Below are 20,636 nucleotides of genomic sequence, written 5' to 3'. Positions count from 1 at the left end.
TGCCCTGGATGTGCCACATTCCCTCACAACTCCGAACCTTGAAAGTGCTGTTCCTTCAGCTTGGAAGTCTTCCTCACTCCTGACCCGCACCACCTCACCTGGCTAACTCCTATTTACATCAGGCTCAGCTCAGAGGTAACCTCTAGAGCACTTTCCATTAAGGCTGTCGTCTGTGGCAATTGCCCTCCTATGTACTTCCATGTCATCTTGTATTATCCACTCTATTATGATCATCTGATTTCACTGTTTATTTTCTGCGTTCCTCTTCCATGAGACTGTATGCCACAGGAAGGCAGGAACAAAGTCCACATCACTCATACTGTGTCATTGTGTTTCCAGTCTTCAGAAAATACCAATCAAGAAATAACTGTCAAAAATGAATAGTTTCTTGCCTCCCTCCTCCTGCCCTCTAAGTGCAGACATTGCTTAAGATTCATGTTTTCCAGCTTTGCTCGATTTCCTTCTTTATATTTCATGGATTCCTATTACTTCAGTGATTGGATATGTGTGAAGAAATCTCCAATCTACCCCCAAGCTAGATAGCTCTCAGCTCCCAGACTGCATTTCCAATCTCATGCTAGACATTCATGCTTGTAGGTTTTTCCATCATCTCAGATAAAAGATATAAAACATTAAAAGCATGCAAAGGATATATGTGTAAGGATGTGCAATGCAACATTGTCTATAATATAGAAAAATTGGAAACAATCCAAATGCCCATCAAAAGAGAATTGGGTAAATAAACTGTGTACCACTGTGCAGACTAGAAAGATTTATATATTGATGTGAAAAGATGTCCATGATATACCGTTCAGTAAAAAAGCAGCTTCATCTGTGTAAATACATACAGTGCTCTTTTGAATAATTTTCCCTTCCTTTGATCCCAAAGTCAATGATACTCATTTGTATGTTGAACAATGAATTTTATAATGCACACTTCAAATGAATGTATAAGGGAATTGAAAAAAGTACTAGGTATTATCTATTAAGAGACTCCTGTTAACCACACACACAAAAACAGGTTTCAGAACTATAGAGTTTAATTTTATTCAATCATTCAACATGCATTTATTAAGCACCTATTATGTGCCAGTTTCTGTTCCAGGTACTGGGGATATGCAGAGAGCAAGGCAAAGTCCTTGCTCTCACAGTTTTCTTTTTTTTTTTTTTTGAGACAGAGTTTCGCTCTTGTCGCCCAGGCTGGAGTGCAGTGACACGATCTCGGCTCACTGCAACTTCTGCCTCCCGGTTTTAAGCAATTCTCCTGCCTCAGCCTCCCGAGTAGCTGGGACTACAGGCGTGCACCACCATGCCCAGCTAATTTTTTGTATTTTTAGTAGAGACGGGGTTTCACCATGTTGGCCAAGCTGGTCACGAACTCCTGGCCCCAAGTGGTCCACCCGCCTCAGGCTCCCAAAGTGCTGGGATTACAGGCGTGAGCCACTGCACCCGGCTGCTCTCACAGTTTTCTAAATAGACAGTAAGCAAATAAATAGACAGAATTAAATGTCACGTAATGATACGTGGTATGAAGAAACTGAATTATGAGGTGTGCTATTCTGCTTAGGATGCTTAGAGAGGGGCTTTCCAAAATAGTGACAGTTGAGCAGAGACCTGAATAAAAGTGAGGGCGGGAATTACCTGAATATTTGGGGCAAGGATATTCTGACCGGAAGAACCAGCCATCACAGAGGCCTACAGTATTGCCGTGTTTAACTGGTTCTAAAACTGCAAGGCAGCCACAGCAGCTGGAGCAAAGTAGGGGGAGGAAAGAGTGGAGGGAGATGTGGCCGTGGTGTGGGCTCTGGGCTCTGGTGTCCATTCTAAGTGTGATGAAAAGTAAGTCTTCAGAGGTGTTTCTGTTACATGTTAGTGTCTCATTTTTAAAAGTCAGCATAAAATAATTCTGAGATGTGAAACTATAGGAGACTTTCATTTTCAAAACCAATGATGCTCTGATTATTTTTTTTTTTTTTTTTTGCCAAAGTAATACTCACCGTAAAACATTCAAACACATTCAAGCACAATCTTGTGTTTGAATGTTTTACGGTGAGTATTACTTTGGCAATCAGAAAAAAAAATGATTTTTTAAATGTGTGGGCTGGACACAGTGGCTCATGCTTGTAATCCCAGCACTTTGGGAGGCTGAGGTGGGCAGATCACTTGAGCCCAGGAGTTCGAGACCAGTCTGGGCAACATGGCAAAACCCTGTCTCTACTAAAAATACAAAAATTAGCTGGGTGTGGTGGCACACACCTGTAGTCCTAGCTACTCAGGAAGCTAAGGGAGGAGGATAGCTTGAGCCCAGGATAGTCCAGGCTGCAGTGAGCCATGATCACACCACTGCACCCCAGCCTGGGCAACAGAGCAAGACCCTGCCTCAAAAACAATAATAAAAATAATGGCCGGGCGCGGTGGCTCACGCCTGTAATCCCAGCACTTTGGGAGGCCAAGGCAGGCCGATCACGAGGTCAGGAGATCGAGACCATTCTGGCTAACACGGTGAAACCCCGTCTCTACTAAAAATACAAAAAATTAGCTGGGCGTGGTGGCGGGCGCCTGTAGTCCCAGCTACTCGGGAGGCTGAGGCAGGAGAATGGCGTGAACCTGGGAGGCGGAGCTTGCAGTGAGCCAAGATTGCACCACTGCACTCCAGCCTGGGCAACACAGTGAGACTCCATCTCAAAAAAAATAAAAATAAAAATAAAATAAAATAAAATAAAATAAAATATGTGCCTACCCTTTGACTCATCAACTCCCTTTCAAGAAAAATATCCTTTAAATATTGGATAAATATGTAAAAATATGTATATAAGGATGTTCATTACAGTATTATTTATAGCAACAAAAAATAGAAATAACTTCGATGTTCAACAATAGGGGATTGACTCAACAATAGGTGATTGACCAAATTGTAAAAACTATACAATGGAATCATGAATAGTCATGACAAATTATGTTGTAGAATATCTCCCCCAGCTAAAAATTAGTTCAATTCCCAGCTCTATGAAGGCTTTCTGTCTGCCCTGGCCTAACAGGACCTCTTCCTCCTTGAAGCTTATTCATGCTTATTGTCTACAGCATCCTCTGGCCCCCACAGTGGAAGAACAAGTGCAGCTCACACCCGGCTGGCTCTGAGCTGTGCTAATGGAAGGGGAGTGGAGCAGAGCAATCCTGAACAATAGATAATTCATTCCTTTGTAAATGCATCAGATAATTTATTTTGCAGTGGATTCACCTTCCTAATTAGCTTTCCCCATGTTAGTATTAAAATTAATGAGCATTTCCAAACACTAGTAGCAGAGGCAGGACCTAGAAGAAGGCAAAAGAGCAAAGAGTTCCCCTGGGTAACCCACTGGCTGGACAACAGGACCTGGAAGCTCAGAGGGTTGTCGGGGCTCTTCCCCTGTACAACTGCCCACTCCTCTTCACTGAGAGACTAGAATACGGCCCCTCCTTAGTAATCCCTGGGCAGGGCACTCTCCTAAGGGAGCCCTCCTGGCCTCTGTCTGCCCTGTAGTCATGCCTTCCCAGGGAGGAGGACGCAGCAGCTATCTCCCCTTTGCCCTTGTTCAGCCAGCTCTATACCCACGGGGTGACCTGTGTGGATTACATGAGCATGATCTCTTATCTTCTGGCCTCCCTCCTGAGGAGGAGGATATGAACCCGCACTCCCTTCCTGCAGGTGACAGCAGGCTGGCCTTTGCCCTTGGCTTGCAGGGCTGGGCTTCCTAAGCCTGCTTCTGATCCCCTTTGTGCATGAGCGTCTCCTCTCGGCACTGCCATGGGACAGTAACATAGCCACTCATGAACTATCCTGGGGTCTCCTTCCCAGTCTACTTGAGCAATTCTGCTGAGCGGCCAAGTGACTGACTCAACAGCTCTGATGGAGACCAGGACACATTCCTTCCAATCACCTCACGGCAGCCTCCTCTGGAAAGGGCAGGATACCACTGGGAAAAGAGAAGCCACAGCTATCTTAAAGAGAGTTTCCTAATAGCCATTACATAAGGGCTCATGTGACAGCCTCTTCCACCCAGTGGTCCTGAGCGGCCAGGGAGGCTATCTACCCATGTGAGGTATTTGAGGGGGCCCAGTAACACCCCCTACCAACCCAAGTCCTCCACCAGCTGAGAAATAGGACAAATTAGTTAACAAATGGAGACCCTATTTATTACTGATATAAATGCTGATATTGAGTAATAATATATTTCTGTCTTAGGGCTGCCTAATACCAAAGCCCAGAATGAGTTAGAACTGGCACCCAGGCTGGGCACAGTGGCTCACTCCTGTAATCCCAGCACTTTGGGAGGCCTAGGTGGGTGGATCACTTCAGCTCAGGAGTTAGAGATCAGCCTGGGCAACATGGTGAGACCACATCTCTACAAAAAATAAATTAGCCGGGTGTGATGGTGCATGCCCGTAGTCCCAGCTACTAAGGAGGCTGAAGTGGGAAGATCACCTCAGCCTGGGAGGTCAAGGCTGCAGTGAGTCATGTTTACCACTGCATTCCAGTCTGGGTGATGGAGCAAGACCCTGTGTCAAAAAAAAAAAAAAAAAAAAGAAAAGAAAAGAAAGAAAAAGAAAAAGAAAGAATAGGCGCTCAGGTAGTGCTGGGGAGGGCAGGCCTCTCTACAGGGGGAGGTAGCGCCACTTCATCGCACAACAATGTAGAAAGACCGGCCCCTAAGAAGAAAGAAAGAGGAAGGCATTGAAATAGGCCAAATTTCTCCTAAACTCACCAGTGGAATTCAGTCACCCCTCCTGTCATTCAGGGATAGCTGACATATTCTAACTGTGTAATTTGAATAAAAATCTAATAAGAGGATTCTTCACAAAAGTGTGGGCAGAGCATGGAGAATCCACAAAGGACAGTGCAATATCCCAGAGCTGAAATGGAGGCAGAGGGAGCAGTTACCAGAATCCGAAGAAAGAGAAGCATCTGATAGGAGGGACCGCCTTCAGTCAAGGGGTGTTCTGTGGCCAGCCTGCTGCCACCTGCGGGAAGGGAGTGTGGGGTTCATATCCTCCTCCCTACAAGGGAGGCCAGAAGATAAGAGATCCCGCTCATGTAATCCATATAGGTCACCGTGTGGGCATAGAGCTGGCTGAACAAAGGCAAAGGGAAGTTAACTGTTGTGTCCTCCTCCCTGGGAAGGCGTGACTATAGGGCAGACAGAAGCCAGGAGGGCTCCCTTAGGAGAGTTCCCTGCCCAGGGAAGGACATATCAGGAAGGGGAAAGAAGCAGTCCTTCCCAATGATCCACACTTGCAAAAGCACCTTGTTTAGGCTCACACAGCTAGGGAGTGATGGGGCTGAGAGTGCCTCCTGTCTCCTAGCTGGGGGCCCTCTGCATGGATGGTTTATCTCTTAAACTTCTTATTGATCCAAGAGTGGATTGTTGGGAGCCCCTGTTCAGCAATCTCTGCACTAGTTCAAAAATTTCTGTTCGTGGGCGGGAGGGGGACAGTGGAGTTGGGAGAGGTGGGCAGGAAGGAAAGAGATTGTCTTAGTCAGTTTGGGATGCTATAACGAAATACCTTAGACTGGGTAATGTATAAACACTAGAAATGTATTGCTCACACTTCTGGAGGCTGAGAAGTCCACGTTCAAAGCATCAGCAGATTAAATGTCTGGTGAGAGCCTGCTGTTCAAGATGAACATAGATGGTTCCTTTTATGTGTCCCCATATGGCTGAAGGGGAGAACAAGCTCCCTCAGGCCTCTTAAGGACACTCATCCCATTTGTGAGGATGAAGCCGTCCTTCCCTATATGCTTCCAAACACCACACCTCTCAATAGGATCCCACTGGGGATTAAGTTTCAACACAAGAATGTTGAGGAGACACAAACCTTCAGACCACAGCAGAGATAAAGAGGGAAAAAATGGTATTTGTGGGTTTTGTTTTTGTTTTGCCTTTGAAAATTCCCTGGAGGGAAATAATCTACTGTTAAAATCAATCTTTCTCCTTTGCTCCTGTCTCTCTCTGTCTCTCCCCACTTCTTTCTCTCCTATCTCTCTCTCTCCCCTCCCACTTCTTTCTCTCTTCCAATTCCTGCATCTCTTTCACAATCACCCCAGAAGTTCCCTCCCTCCCCTCCTGTGTTCCTGTGTGACCTCCCAACCCCAGGCAGGAGATGGCAGTGATTCTAAAAGAAGATGAGGGGCTATGACACCCTGCAGAGGCCTGAGGTCTCAGACAGACCCAAGGAACTTGCACCAAAGTTTCCTGTCACCCAGTTTCAGCACTATTCTATGGCCCAGCTATCTCTGATGAGAAACAATTCAAATTCTTTTTCAGCTCCTCAGAAGGTAGCATTTATAGGCCTGCTGGCTAAAATATTCACAATCAGTTCCTTTCCATGAGCAAAGGTGGTGGAATCTGGGAGATCAAAGCAAAAAAAAAAAAAAAGTCATTCCCAGAATCCCTTTGTTCAGCTAAACAAAGTTTTAGGTGCCAGGTTTTATGCCTGAGGCAAGAACTGAAAGCTAGAGAAGTCCTCATCCCTGCTCTTGGGTCATTCACAGTCTGGCTTCTCACTGCTGAACTTTTCTGGAACACACCTGGTCATTGCATTGGCTAGCCAAATAAGGCCACATCTGGAGATGGACCTTCCCACGTCACCCTCCAAGAGAAGTAGTACATCGGCTTCCTCTCGGAGTCATAAATGTTCTGAATGGAGTAAGTCCACAGAGATTCCTCGACTGGAGACGGAAACAGGCCTAGAAAGGAGAAGGGTTTGAGCACAGGTCACATGCCCACAGCTGGTGGCTGTGCTGGGCCTGGGCGTGTTTTCCGTTCCCCCACATCACCCTGCTTCCTTAGCATTCCTGGGAGCTGATGTAGCTGGGACTACAGGCGCCCGCCACCATGCCCGGCTAATTTTTTGTATTTTTAGTAGAGACGGGGCTTCACCGTGTTAGCCAGGATGGTCTCGACCTCCAGACCTCGTGATCTGCCTGCCTCAGCCTCCCAAAGTGCTGGAATTACAGGCGTGAGCCACCATGCCCGGCCGGAGCCAGAGTTCTTAACTATGGAAGAGGGAAGATATAATTATGGGTGGGTTAGATTGGAACTGGATGTGTTAGTATGAACTAATGATTTCTAAAATCCAAACACACATACACCACAACCACCACCATTACCACTGCTGTGAAGACATGGAACACCTGCGTCATAATCTCTCCACCCCGGGCAACCTCTGATTTGCTTTCTGTGTCTTTTTTCTCTGGTTGTTGTTTTGTTTTGTTTTTGGTTTTTTTTTGGAGACGGAGTCTTGCACTGTCGCCTGGGCTGGAGTGCAGTGGCACCATATTGGCTCACTGCAAGCTCTGCCTCCCAGGTTCACGCCATTCTCCTGCCTCAGCCTCCCGAGTAGCTGGGATTACAGTTACCCGCCACCACACCCAGCTAATTTTTTGTATTTTTAGTACAGATGGGGTTTCACCGTGTTGGCCAAGCTGGTCTCAAACTCCTGACCTCATGATCCACCCACTTTGGCCTCCCATAGTGCTGGGATGACAGGCATGAGCCACTGTGCCCGGCCTCTCTGGTTGTTTTAAAGACTTTCTTTGTATCATTGGTTTTCAGCAATTTGACTGCCTTCATGTAGTTTTCTTTGTATTTATTCTGCTAGGGGAATGGTTAAATTTCTTGACTCTATGGGTTGAAATTGGAAGGTTTTTCAACTATTACTTCGTCAAATATTTTTTTCTGCCTCTTGCCTCTTGCCATATACATGTACTCCCATTACATGTATATCAGACCTTGAGATGTCCCACAGATCACTGAGACTTTGCTCCTTCTTTTTCTTTGTGTGCTGCCTTTTGGATAGTTTCTATGGCTATGTCTTCAAGTTCCTTTGCAGTACCTAATTTTTCATCTCAGATGTATTTTTTCAGTTCTAAAAGTTCCATTTGTTTCCTTTTTATAGTTTCTATTTCTCTCTTCATTATATTTATGTTTTCCTTTAAATCTTTGAGCATACGTACAATAGCTGCTTTAAGTTTCTTGCCTACTAATTGCATCATCTCTCTCAGTACATTTTTCCTGCTTTTTCGGATGTCAGGAAACTTTTTAGACACTGGAGCCCAGCTCTCCCACTATACTATGAGGTTGTGGAAAACTGCAGTTTCAATGACCACTGCAATCTCTTAATACACTCATTCCAAGAGTGTTCTCCTGGGCAGTGCAACCCCAACAGCAGAGAGCTATGTAGCCCCTGCTGTAGCAGAGCCAGGGCCCCAATGCCTGCTGAGAGCTGGGACAGGACCCCGTGGTGCTGCAGAGAGGTCAGTCCGAACCCAAGGGGTACTGCCCTCTAACACTTGGAAAGCTGAGCACCCCTTGCTCCTAGGAGTCCAACTCACCAGTGAGTTCTAATGTCTCGTTGACCTCAGTGTGCATCTCTCAGTATGCCTTGCTAAGTTTAGTCTTACCCTTGGTGCTGATACTGCTCCTGACCTTGCCAGTGAAGTGGTCCTCCTTCTCTCTCTGCTGAGGGACCTCTGCTGGCCCAAGGGAAAAGCCAACCCCCTTCCCTGTCCTGGCTTGGTTGGCAGAGGACCCAACATCCACTCCCTCTCCTCCTCACGCTTGTCCTCCCCAGGCGCCTTGGAGGCATTGGAGACAGGATGCAGGGAAGGAGCCCCCTCTGCTTCCACTACTGAGCAGGGATTAGTCCAGAAGGTACCCAGGAGGGGAAAGGTGGACTGAAAGACTGCTTTTCCTCCCCTTTAACCCTCCCTTCTGTCTCTACAAAAATCAAATCAAAATGGATTAATGACTTAAATCTAAGACCTCAAACTATAAAACTACTAAAAGAAAACATTGGGGAAACTCTCCAGGACATTGGTTGGGGAAGATATTTCTTGAGTAATACCCCACAAGCACAGACAACCAAAGCAAAAATGGACAAATGGGATCACGTCAAGTTAACAAGCTTCTGCACAGCAAAGGAAACAACCAACAAAGTGAAGAGACAACCTACGGAACGGGAGAAAATATTTGCAAATTACCCATCTGACAAAGGATTAACAATCAGAATATAGAAGGAGCTCAAACAACTCTACAGGAAAATAAATCTAATACTCCAATAAAAAATGCCCAAAAGACTTGAATGGGCATTTCTCAAAAGAAGTCATAAATGGCAAACAGGTATATGAAAAGGTGCTCAACATCACAGATAATCAAAGAAATGCAGATCAAAACCACAGTGAGATATCATCTCACCCCAGTCAAAATGGGTTATATACAAAAGACAGGCAATAATAAATGCTGGTGAGGATGTGGAGAAAAGAGAATCCATGTACAGTGTTGGTGGGAATGTAAATTAGTACAAGCACTCTGAAGGACAGTTTGGAGGTTCTTCAAAAAACTAAAAATATAGCTACCATATGGTCCAGCAATCCCACTGCTGGGTATGAACCTAAAAGAAAGGAAATCAGTGTATTGAAGAGATGTCTGCACTCCCATGTTTGTTGCAGCACTGTCACAATAGCCAAGATTTGAAACCAACCTAAATATCCATCCACAGATGAATGCATAAGGAAAACGTGGTAGATATACACAATGGAGTACTATTCAGCTTTGAGAAAGAATGAGATCCTATCATTTGCAACATGGCTGGAACTGGAGGTCATTATGTTAAATGAAATAAGCCAGGCACAGAAAGACAAACATTACATGTTCTGACTTATTTGTGGGATGTAAAAATCAAAACAATTGAACTCATGGAGATAAGTCAGTTAGAAGGACGGTTACCAGAGGCTGGGAAGGCTTGTGGCGGGGGGCAGGGAGGAGATGGGGGAGAGGTAGAGTAGGGTAATGGGTACCAAAAAAAAGTTGGAAAGAATGAATAAGACCTAGTATTTGATAGAATAGGGAGACTATAATAAAAAATAATTTAATTATACATTCTAAAATAACTAAAAGAATGTAATTAGATTGCTTGTAACACAAAGGATAAATGCTTGAGGAGAAGGATATGCCATTTTCCATGATGGGATTATTATGCATTCCATGCTTGTATCAAAGTATCTCATGTACCGCATAAATATATACACAACTATGTAACCCCAAAAATGAAAAATTAAAAATTTTTTTAAAACGAAGTTTCACTCTTGTCACCCAGGCTGGAGTGCAATGGCACCATCTTGGCTCACGGCAACCTCCACCTCCTAGGTTCAAGCGATTCTCCTGCCTCAGCCTCCTGAGTAGCTGAGATTACAGGCATGTGCCACCATGCCGGACTAATTTTTGTATTTTTAGTAGAGATGGGGTTTCACCATGTTGGCCAAGGCTAGTCTCGAACTCCTGACCTCAGGTGACCCACCCGCCTCGGCCTCCCAAAGTGCTGGGATTACAGGCATGAGCCACCATGCCCGGCCCAAAAAAAAATTTTAAAGAAACTTTTTAGGCCCGGTGTGGTGGCTCATGCCTGTAACTCCAGCACTTTAGGAGGCTGAGGCAGGAGGATCACGAGGTCAGGAGATTGAGACTATCCTGGCTAACACGGTGAAACCCCGTCTCTACTAAAAATACAAAAAATTAGCCGGGCATGGTGGTGGGCGCCCGTAGTCCCAGCTGCTAGGGAGGCTGAGACAGGAGAATGGCATGAACCCGGGAGGCGGAGCTTGCAGTGAGCAGAGATCACGCCACTGCACTCCAGCCTGGGTGACAGAGCAAGACTCCGCCTAAAAAAAAAAAACTTTTTAGTGGATGCTGAACATTATAAGGGTTATGGTGTTGAGAGACTGTCCTTTTTATTTTAGTGAGGTAGTTTAAGTTTCTTAATGATCATCATGATCCTTTTGGGGCTTGTTTTCAAGCTTTGTGAGAGCAGGCCTAGAGAAACCTTCTCTCTAGAGCTAGTTAAGTCTTACTCCTAAGGCCTAGGTTTTCTGGGGTCTCTACTAAATGTCCCAGGTGTTCAGTGAGACCCCACTGAACTATTTATTTTAGCTGGCTACAATAGTTTATTATATTTAATAATAAATAGTTTATTATTATAAATAAATAATTTATTCTAGCTGGCTAGCTGGCTAGAGCTCAAAAAACTTCCAACTACGTATAGGCTTCTGGAAGCGCTCAGTTTATAGCTCACCAGTATTTGTTATTTCCCATTGTTGCTATTTATCCAGACTCATGGAGCCTTACCATGGGCATGTGTAGCCTAGTATTCAACCAAATACTTTAGACAAGTACTTTTGTCAAGTGTCTAGAGGTCTTTGTGCAGTTCTCTCCTCCCTGGTAATCTGCCTGGCAAATTCCAACCACCTTGGGTCTCTGTCTCCTCAACTCAGCAAGACTTCTGTGTTCTGCTTGGCTTCCCGTCTCCAGGTAGTAGTCTGGAATGTGCTTCTAGGCAAAAAGCTGCGGCAATGTAGGGATCGCCTCATTTGTTTCACTTCTCTCAGGAAATATCTGAGATGTGTGAACACAGTCGTTTCATGTACTTTGTCTAGTTTTCTAGATGTTTACCATGGGACGGCTGGTTCAGTATCTGCCTGTTTGCTTTCTGATCACATGAATTCACATGCAGTCTTTCTCTACTCCTGGGCAGCTTCACCTGAACTTCCTCCTTCTTTTCATGCACATAAGTGAAATAAGTGCTTAAAACCAAAGGTCCTGGATTTTAGACACTACTGGAGCCCGCTGGACTAGGAGCCTTGCTTTATCTTAGCCTCATAAAACTGACCCTCTGAGGATTTGAGAAAGTTAATCCTAATCCCCAATGCTAAAGGACACATTATCTCCTAGATGCAGCCAAACAATCACAGGGCACCATTGTATTCTTTTAAATCAAACACCCTGTTTCTTGCAGATATAAATTAGCATTATTTTAAAAGGTTGAAGAAGATACACCAAAATATTAACAGTGATTATCTCTGTGGAATGAACTTTTGGGTTTCTTTTTGCTCTTCTTGGAGTTTTCAATTTTTTTTTTGGCTTTTATCATTATTATAATTTTTTTATTTTTTATTTTTTGAGAAGGAGTCTCGCTGTGTCACCCAGGCTGGAGTGCAGTGGCGCAATCTCAGCTCACTGCAACCCCCACCTCCCAGGTTCAAGCAATTCTCCTGCCTCAGCCTCTCCAGTAGCTGGAATTACAGGCGCCTGCCACCACGCCCGGCTAATTTTTGTATTTTTGGTAGAGACAGGGTTTATACATGTTTGCCAGGCTGGTCTTGAACTCCTGACCTCAAGTGATCCGCCCACCTCCACCTTCCAAAGTGCTAGGATTACAGGCTTTTATCATTATTTCTAATTGACACATAATAATTGTACATATTTATGGGAAACTGTGATATTTTGATACATGTATACAGTGTATGAGTTTCAATTTTTAAAATAAACATGCAATACCTTAAAAATTTTTTAATGTTTTAAATGTACTTATTTTTCTGACTCTGTTGCTTGAATCAGAAGTATGCTATTTTTATAATAAGAAAAAGAATTATGCCCTATAGTTGTGTACTCCTCCCACTCAATGACATTTCATTGTGCCTTAGTACAAATAATAGAGGCCAGGGGTGTAACTGATGGTTGATACGGAGCTCACCTGGATGACAGCCAAGTTCTGCCCCCACTCAACAGAAGAACAGGCCTATTGAATTCTGACTCCCTCCCTTCCCTCCTGTCCCCAAACAAAACGTTATTTGAAGAGTTTCCTTGTTCTCCAAGCAAATGAGAGCAGTCCAGAAAAACATTTCTCTCTCAGAAGCTTTTCCAGAAGTTTCCGATAAAGCTAAGACTCCCAGAAGAGCGTAAGTCAAGTAGCCAAGAGAAAGAGGAGTGACTGCCGGTTTCCGCGGGGCATCAGCGTGGGTTCCTGGGCATTGCTCCCCATCATGCAGTCTAACGGCAGAGGAGAGGACAGCCTTCCTGCTACCGGGAATCTTACAGCTGCCTGCCCCCCAACTCTACTTCCCCTTTAAAACAAAAAACAAAAACCCGCTCCTCAGAATCCAGACCAGAAACGATGGAGACATTAGCATACTCTGGCAAGCAGCCCGATGGATAATAGATAACAGGTTATCCAGGAAATAATTAGAAGTCTGCGCCCACACGGATCAGTTGCAGACACTGACCCCGTCATTCAGGATGTGGCCCTGAAAGTAAAGAGCCCTTTCTTCTTTCACTTTCAGGGGTTGGGAAAATGTCAGGCCTCTCTCCCTTCTTTTATGCCGTGACAAGTTAACAAGTGCTGAGTTTCAAATAGGCACTTAAGCCCCCTGAGCAAAGTAAAGTGGTTCTCACAGAGCCAGGGAGACCAACAGGTCCTCTCCCGTGAACCCCTAGGGCTGGGCGGGCCCACGGAGGAAGGGAGCCACGGATCAGGCGCGCTGCTCAGTCAGGAGGCCATAGCCGGCTTTCTCTTTCACCTCCCCTGTGGCTCCGACCTTCTTTCCCTCCGCGCCCACATTTCTGCCCCGGCCCAGCCCCTTGCATATTCCACCCCCGGCTGCAGAGGGAGGTCTTTTTAGCCCTGCTGTCTCCCTGCACTCCTACCCAGCCCTCTTCACAGCCCCCCTCCGCTGCCTCCCCACATTCTTCTTGTTTGATTGGGGTGGAGGGAGGCAAGATTCAGAAATAAAGCTTTTGTTTATATTTAAGGAATTCAATGGGTGTTCACTGCTATAGCTCTCTTTTGTGTTGTGTCATTGTTGCTTTCCATAATGGCTTCCAAAACTATTTTCTCTTCCAACCCTCCCTATCCTTAACCCCCACTAAGATGTGTGGAATTTGAATGTAGACAGGAACACAATGACAGATTGAGGCTTTCTCACTTTCTCTCGAGTGGATGGAGAAACCTAATAATTCTCATAATAAATATCCTGTGAAATCAGTCAAATCAACCTTCTTTTTTCCTGTCTTTGGATAGCTCTATTTTTCCCGTCTTTGGATAGCTCTATTTTTCCCACATAAACTCAATAGTAATAATTAACTCCCATGTTTTGAGCACGAACACGTGCTGGGCTGTGCTAAGCATTTTCTGTGCAATGCCTTAGCCCTTTCCACAGGCCTGTCTTACTATTCCCATTTTACAGATGAAAAAACTGAGCCCTTGCACAGATGCAATGACCTGGCCGTTTTTTGGTCTGTTTTGTGGGGGGTTTTTTTTAAAGGTAGAAATAGCAGAGCTGGGATTCGGATTACTATCAGATTCCAAACTTCCACCATTATACAATACTTACACCATACCAAACCTACACCATGCTAACAAGCACACTACACACCTACATCATCCTAACTTACATCACACTGACTCTTTTAAGGAAGGAGCAGGTGACAGTCCTATGTCCTGGAAGATGGGCTAAAGGGCTGGCTCTACAGAGGAAGGAATCAGAAGCCAGGTGTCATGGCATCCAGAATCTTCCATCACAGTTTGCCAAATGCTCCAAAGCTTCACCTCATTTCAACCTCACCAAAACCCCATAAGTCAGGCATGATTTTTCACTACCCCACCATCACTTGGTGTTACAAGTAAGGTTTAAACTGAGAGTCACAGAAGTGATTTGCCTGAGGTCATTCAGCTGATAAGTGGAGGTAGAATGTGGTTTTGCACTCAGGCTTTCAGTTCTCAAATCTTCACTGATCTTACTACACTCTTCTGCCTTTCAGCAATCCCTGAGTTAGGCTTCTCAAAACAATTCGATGAATGATACCAGGCTCCCTGGGTCGGCTTATTTGGTAGTCAATAGTTGGAAAAGTACAGTGAGTAATTGAGAGTGTGGATTCTAGAAGCAAATTGCTCTATCATTTGCAAGTTATGTGACCTTCAGCAAGTCTCGGTGCCTCAGTTTCCTCATCTATAAAGTAAGGAATCATAACAGCACCTACTTTTTGTTTTTTTGAGACAGAGTTTCACTCTTGTTGCCCAGGCTGGAGTGCAATGGCGTGATCTCAGCTCACCACAACCTCCTCCTCCTAGGTTCAAGCGATTCTCCTGCCTCAGCCGTCCGAGTAGCTGGGATTACAGGCATGTGCCACCACGCCCGACTAATTTTGTATTTTTAGTAGAGACGGGGTTTCTCCATGTTGGTCAGGCTGGTCTCGAACTCCCAGCCTCAGGTGATCTGCCTGTCTTGTCCTCCCAAAGTGCTGGGATTACAGGCGTGAGTCACCATGCTCAGCCAACAGCACATACTTTTAAGATTACTATGAATGGGCTGGGCACGGTGGCTCACGCCTGTAATCCCAGCACTTTGGGAGGCCAAGGCGGGCGGATCACGAGGTCAGGAGATGGAGACCATCCTGGCTAATACAGTGAAACCCTGTCTCTACTAAAAATACAAAAAATTAGCTAGGCGTGGTGGCAGGTGCCTGTAGTCCCAGCTACTCGGGAGGCTGAGGCAGAAGAAAGGTGTGAACCCGGGAGGTGGAGCTTGTAGTGAGCCGAGATCGCGCCACTGCACTCCAGCCTGGGCAACAGAGCAAGATTCCATCTCAAAAAAATAAAAATAAAAAAAAATTACTATGAATGAAGTATTGGGAAAAATGATTAAGATCACGCTTGGTGCGAAGGAAGCTGGGGCAAAGGTTTGAGTGCAAGCAGTTGGTTTGTGATCCTAGAAAGCTCTGAGAGAATGAGGAAAGAGGTAGGGAAGGGAGGCAAGTCAATAAAGGTGCTGGGGAACAGGTTACCATGGAAGGGCAGGCCCTGAGAAATTGGAACACACCTCAGAATGGTCCCTGGGGAACTTTGCCCCATCCTGCATCAGTAAGACCGCTCCTGGGGGATTCACTGCCTCTCCGCCTGAGGGACAAGCCCTCTCCGAAGGCCAGAGCAGGTACACTGAGAACAGCATGCAGGTGACCCTGGGGTAGGCCACACCTGGGGTGGGCCCTGTCTGCCACCTACCCTGTAATCTCTCACTGTTGCTAATGTACACTCTAGGTGGACTGTTTTCTCAGAAACACTTGCCAAACAGCCCCATTGTTTGCTCCAGATCTAGTCTGAAAGAGCAAAATTTCCTCTTTGAACTGTAAATACCTGCTGAGAGCTCTTTAGAAATTCTAGGTAATTAAAATTCCTTTAAAGTATCCATAGCTATGATTGTCCCATACACGTCTGTGTGTTTACCTTCTAGTTTACACAATTACAAATTATGTTTGCATATACCATTATCTGATTTAATCCTCATGGTAAACCAGTGAGGTAGATGGTAACCCTTGAAACCGTCCCAGAGTTTTAGATCCTTCTCCAAAGGATTAGAAAGAGTTTAGTAATTTCAGCTGAGAGATGATTCCAAAGCCCTGGAGGAAGTTTCGCAACATTTCTCCTCTCCTCTATCTGAACAGTTCCTGCAGGACCTAAAAAGTCATGTTCTAGCCATTTTACTCGTGTTTGGAAGCTTTGAGAATATGAAGCTTTGAGCATATTGTTGCTTGTAGAATAATAAAGCAATCCGGTTACTTTATTCATTTTTTTCTCAACGTAAACATGTAACAAGATATTAACAAAGAAGTTCTGCTAAGGCCTGAAGACAATAGCAATGGCATTTTAAGCTAGGCACAAGACCACGTGCAGAGTGGGGAGAAAGCAGGCAAGAAAAAACTAACTAGTTTTGACTCTTGCACTCTGCATTCATGGTGATAGAATGGCCAGTCTGGCAGATGAGAAAGGAGGATTTCCGGACATAGTTTTTGGTGGGTTGTGAGTCCCATAGGAGAAGAGAGGAAGTATAGGGACCTCATCACAAGCTCAGGGAATGGGGTTTCAATTGTCCACTGAGAGGGCTTAATACACATTTCTTGTAGCTTAGGGAACTCAGTGCACAGGCGTCCAGTTCCCATCTGAAAAAGCCAAAGGACAGCAATAGGCTGACCCTAGCTTTGACTGTGGAGTAAGGTGGAGGCCAAAGGAGGAGGCTAGGACACCCTGTGCTCTCCAAATTTGTCATGATAGAGGGTGTGTGTATGTGTGTGGCCAATGTGGGCCACATCCAGGAAAGGCCTGGCAGTGAGGGGTTATCTTAGATTGTTCAAGAGTGCTGCATGGAGGGGCAAACTGGCCTCTCAGAGAGAAGCTCAAGGTATCACCAGGTTCAGAGGGTTGAGGAAGGAGTGAGTGAGTAGCAAGCATGGAAAGCATTTGTCCTGTGAAGCAAACTGCAGGGAAGAGCTCCTCAGTGGCCGGAAGGTCACTGCAAAGACCTGGTGAGAGTCAGCTGTCAATTATTTGCCAAGTCCAGAGCGAGCAGATGCTAAATTCCCAAGCCAGGGCCAGTCAAGCAAGAACTTTCCTGCTTCCCTGGCCTCTTCTCATTTGCAGGACTCCAGCTCTGAAAGAGGCAGGACTCATGGCTAGTAATCTGGGGAAGGAGGAGGAGAAATGTTAGCAGCTGACCACATACCCTTTCCCCAGTCTCCTTTGTCTTCACCTTTCAAGGATCCTGAGCTGGGATGGGGGAGAAGTTTCAACTTTAAAGCAAGAAGTTATGGGACTGAATAATTTAGTTACTAAATGCGTACTATGTGGTTTAAAGTGACCGGAAGATTGCTGATATTACTAAGTGTGACCAGAAAGTCATAGACTTGCTCTAAATTTCATCTGGGGCAGAGGAAGATCTGGCTTCCCCGGGCAGATGAAAAAGAACAGTGGGAAATCAAATAAATTTGCTTGTGAATACACTCCGTGAGTCTTGTTTGTTCAGCACAATGGCTAGCCACGTTTCCAATCCTGGGAGATTGACAAGTGCTCAGGGAAGACTGGTTTGTGGTTTTGAGTGGTCTCTGGGTCAGAATCCCAGACTTCACTGGAGAAGTGAAACCAACCATATAGATAGGCCAATTTCCACAGCCACAGTGGGGCTACAACCAAGAGGTCTCCATTGCTCCCCACCCGATTTAGAAACCCGTCCTGACCTGAGATTGACAATGGTGACAGCCACCTCTGTGCTCATTGCTGTAAGACCGTGGCAGCAGATGGCTATGGCTGCTATTGTTTGCCCATTGGGAATCCCAAACAAATCCACTAGCTATGCCCCTAGACACTGCCTGATGATGAATCTATTAAGAGATTGAATCCCTCTGGATGAATGGTTTGGATAATGGCTGTACATATTACAGTAAACAAAATGTTTTGGGAGACCTTCTTCACTTATTGTCTCTCAGCTCCAAACCTGCCCTTCTGTGCTTGCTTTGTGATGCTGGGCTAGGACTCTGCCAACCACAGTTTTGCTTTGCCAGCTGGCTCCACATTAGGCCCTTCCCACGGGAGGCCCCAGAGGGAACAGCATGGTGAGAGAGAAAGAAAGGCCTCCTTCCTTCCTGTCTGCTTCCTGTGGGTTTTCTGTACCTGTCAGTGTCACTCTAGTCTCACCTCTTCACCCTGGCAGTAGCAGCTCCTTCTTGGAGCAGCAGTTGAATGTAGTTTGCAGTTTTTCCAGCACTGACAGAACCAGCCTCATCATGCTCTTGTTCTCCCAGGAGATGTCGGGTCCTCAGGGCCCCTCTCCAGCTCAGAAATGCCAGCCCAGCCAAGCGGTGCCCCCTCCGTGGAGTCTGAGTCCCAAGTTTTCAAGTTTTAATAATTCCCACCCCTTCCTATTCTCAGTCCCAGGGGCAGGGGCTGCTTCCTGCAGTTTAGTATTTATTTTATAAATAAATAAAAATTATTTATTTATTTATTTTTTTCTTTTTTCCAAGACAGAGTCTTGCTCTGTCACCCAGGCTGGAGTGCAGTGGCGCGATCTTGGCTCACTGCAACCTCCACCTCCTGGGTTCAAGCAATTCTGCCTCAGCCTCCTGAGTAGCTGTGATTACAGGAGCCCCCCACTGCGCTAGGCTAATTTTTGTACTTTTAGTAGAGATGGGGTTTCACCATGTTGGCCAGGTTGGTTTCAAACTCCTGACCTCATGATCTGCCTGCCTCGGTCTCCCAAAATTCTGGGATTATAGGCGTGAGCCACCATACCTGGTCTTTTTTTTTTTGAGACAGAGTCTCGCTCTGTTGCCCAGGCTGGAGTGCAGTGGCGTATTCTTGGCTTACTGCAACCTCCACCTCCCAGGTTCAAGCGATTCTCCTGCCTCAGCCTCCCGGGTAGCTGGGACTACACGCGTGTGCCACCATGCCTAGCTACCTTTTGTATTTTTAGTAGTGATGAGGTTTCACCATGTTGACCAGGCTGGTCTTGAACTCCTGACCTCAGGTGATCTGCCTGCATTGGCCTCCCAAAGTGCTGGGATTACAGGTGTGAACCACTGCGCCCGGCCAACCTGCAGTTGCTTTTACTGTGACACCTTAGTGTCCTCTTTTAGTTATCTAGTTAACAACCTTTTTTTTTTTTTTTTTTTTTTGAGACAGGATCTCACTCTGTTACTCACACTGAGTGCTGTGGAACAATCATGGCTCACTGCAGCATCAACTTCCGGGGCTCAAGCAATTCTCCTGCCTCAGCTTCCGGAGTAGCTGGGACTACAGACACACACCACCACACCCTACTAATTTTTTATTATTTGTAGAGATGAAATCTCACTATGTTTTCCAGGCTGGTCTCAAACTCCAGGACTCTAGTGATCCTCTCTCATCGGTCACCCAAAGTGCTGGAATTAGAGGTGTGAACCACTGTGCTCGGCCCCAGTAATTCTTACATTACCTTCTCTGTTCAAATAACAGATGGTGTTTTCTGTCCCCTGAGTGAGACACATCTCAATGAAAAAAAAAATGGAGAATTACAGTATCCCAGAGGACTTGCTGGGGTAAAGAATTAGTGAGGCCTCTAGCGAGGAAAGACTGGAGTAGTTGCTTAACGTTTTTTTTAAATTATTTATTTATTTATTTACTTATGTATTCATTTATTTCGGGATAGGGTCTCACTTTGTTGCCCAGGCTGTAGTGCAGTGTTGTCAACCCTGCTCACTGCAGACTCAAGCAGTCCTTTCACCTCAGCCTCCCAAGTAGCTGAGACTACAGGCATGTGCCACCAAGCTCAGCTAATTTTTGTATTTTTTGCAGGGACAAGTTTTTGCCGTGTTGCCCAGGCTGGTCTCAATCTCCTGAGCTTAAGTGACCCTCCTACCTCAGCCACCCAAAGTGCTAGGATTACAGGCGTGAGCCACTGTGCCTGTCCCGGTTTTTGAATCACAGAGCCCTTGGAGAAAGAGATGGAACAAAGGACTTTCTCTCTAGGAAATGTAAATGTCTATCGGCACATTGCCTACCTGCAACCCTTGCACTCAGTTACTCAATTTTAAGCGTTGGTGGACCCCAAAGCCCAGGTACTGATTCTTGTGGTAGAATGTTGGCTAGGTTGAGTCTCCATGTTGGAGGAAATCTAGTGGGCTCTCAGAGGCTGTTGCCTAAACCTAGGAAAAGTCGAACAAAAGATCTGTCAGTCCGGGGTTGCCAAGGAGCTGTCCTAGATTTTCAGACTCCCTGAATTTGAGTTAAATATCCTGACTGTAGACCTGCCAACCACCCTGGACTTGTAATTGCTCTTGCATCTGAGGCCTTAACAATGTGTCATATTCAACAACAACTATTTTACTCATGGGGGCCCCGCCAACAAGAATGAGCCTTCTGAAGCAGAGCCCTGTTTTCTAGGCCATCCTCCCCCAGAGGCCCCTGGCTGGCCCCAGGAGGCCCCAACCTTCTCTCCCAGTCCTTCAGTGCCACGTAGAGTGTAG

General features: G+C 45.7%; 1 pseudogene, besides 7 other annotated features; it reads left to right on the top strand.

The window, feature by feature from the left end:
- Positions 4,581-5,149: an enhancer, noted in NCBI's record as "H3K27ac-H3K4me1 hESC enhancer chr14:65704769-65705337 (GRCh37/hg19 assembly coordinates)". NCBI's record gives its function as "activates a minimal SCP1, AML or CMV promoter by ChIP-STARR-seq in primed H9 embryonic stem cells {active_cell/tissue: H9 hESC(primed)}" and the evidence as "EXISTENCE:reporter gene assay evidence [ECO:0000049][PMID:30033119]".
- Positions 8,099-8,685, top strand: LOC100420096 (IGF like family receptor 1 pseudogene; annotated as a pseudogene).
- Positions 14,188-14,237: a silencer, noted in NCBI's record as "silent region_5848". NCBI's record gives its function as "represses an Ori minimal core promoter by ATAC-STARR-seq in GM12878 lymphoblastoid cells {active_cell/tissue: GM12878}" and the evidence as "EXISTENCE:reporter gene assay evidence [ECO:0000049][PMID:35858748]".
- Positions 16,596-17,475: an enhancer, noted in NCBI's record as "OCT4-NANOG-H3K4me1 hESC enhancer chr14:65692443-65693322 (GRCh37/hg19 assembly coordinates)". NCBI's record gives its function as "activates a minimal SCP1, AML or CMV promoter by ChIP-STARR-seq in primed H9 embryonic stem cells {active_cell/tissue: H9 hESC(primed)}" and the evidence as "EXISTENCE:reporter gene assay evidence [ECO:0000049][PMID:30033119]".
- Positions 16,596-18,356: a biological region, named in NCBI's record as "OCT4-NANOG-H3K4me1 hESC enhancers GRCh37_chr14:65691562-65692442 and GRCh37_chr14:65692443-65693322".
- Positions 17,455-17,749: a silencer, noted in NCBI's record as "tiled region #1051; HepG2 Repressive non-DNase unmatched - State 6:EnhF". NCBI's record gives its function as "represses a minimal TATA promoter and a strong SV40 promoter by Sharpr-MPRA in HepG2 cells {active_cell/tissue: HepG2}" and the evidence as "EXISTENCE:reporter gene assay evidence [ECO:0000049][PMID:27701403]".
- Positions 17,476-18,356: an enhancer, noted in NCBI's record as "OCT4-NANOG-H3K4me1 hESC enhancer chr14:65691562-65692442 (GRCh37/hg19 assembly coordinates)". NCBI's record gives its function as "activates a minimal SCP1, AML or CMV promoter by ChIP-STARR-seq in primed H9 embryonic stem cells {active_cell/tissue: H9 hESC(primed)}" and the evidence as "EXISTENCE:reporter gene assay evidence [ECO:0000049][PMID:30033119]".
- Positions 20,381-20,520: an enhancer, noted in NCBI's record as "active region_8550". NCBI's record gives its function as "activates an Ori minimal core promoter by ATAC-STARR-seq in GM12878 lymphoblastoid cells {active_cell/tissue: GM12878}" and the evidence as "EXISTENCE:reporter gene assay evidence [ECO:0000049][PMID:35858748]".

This window comes from Homo sapiens, chromosome 14 (assembly GCF_000001405.40).
Source record: "Homo sapiens chromosome 14, GRCh38.p14 Primary Assembly".
Lineage (NCBI taxonomy): Eukaryota > Metazoa > Chordata > Mammalia > Primates > Hominidae > Homo > Homo sapiens.
The sequence above is the reverse complement of the archived record's forward strand: the minus strand, read 5'-3'. Positions and strand labels throughout refer to the sequence as shown.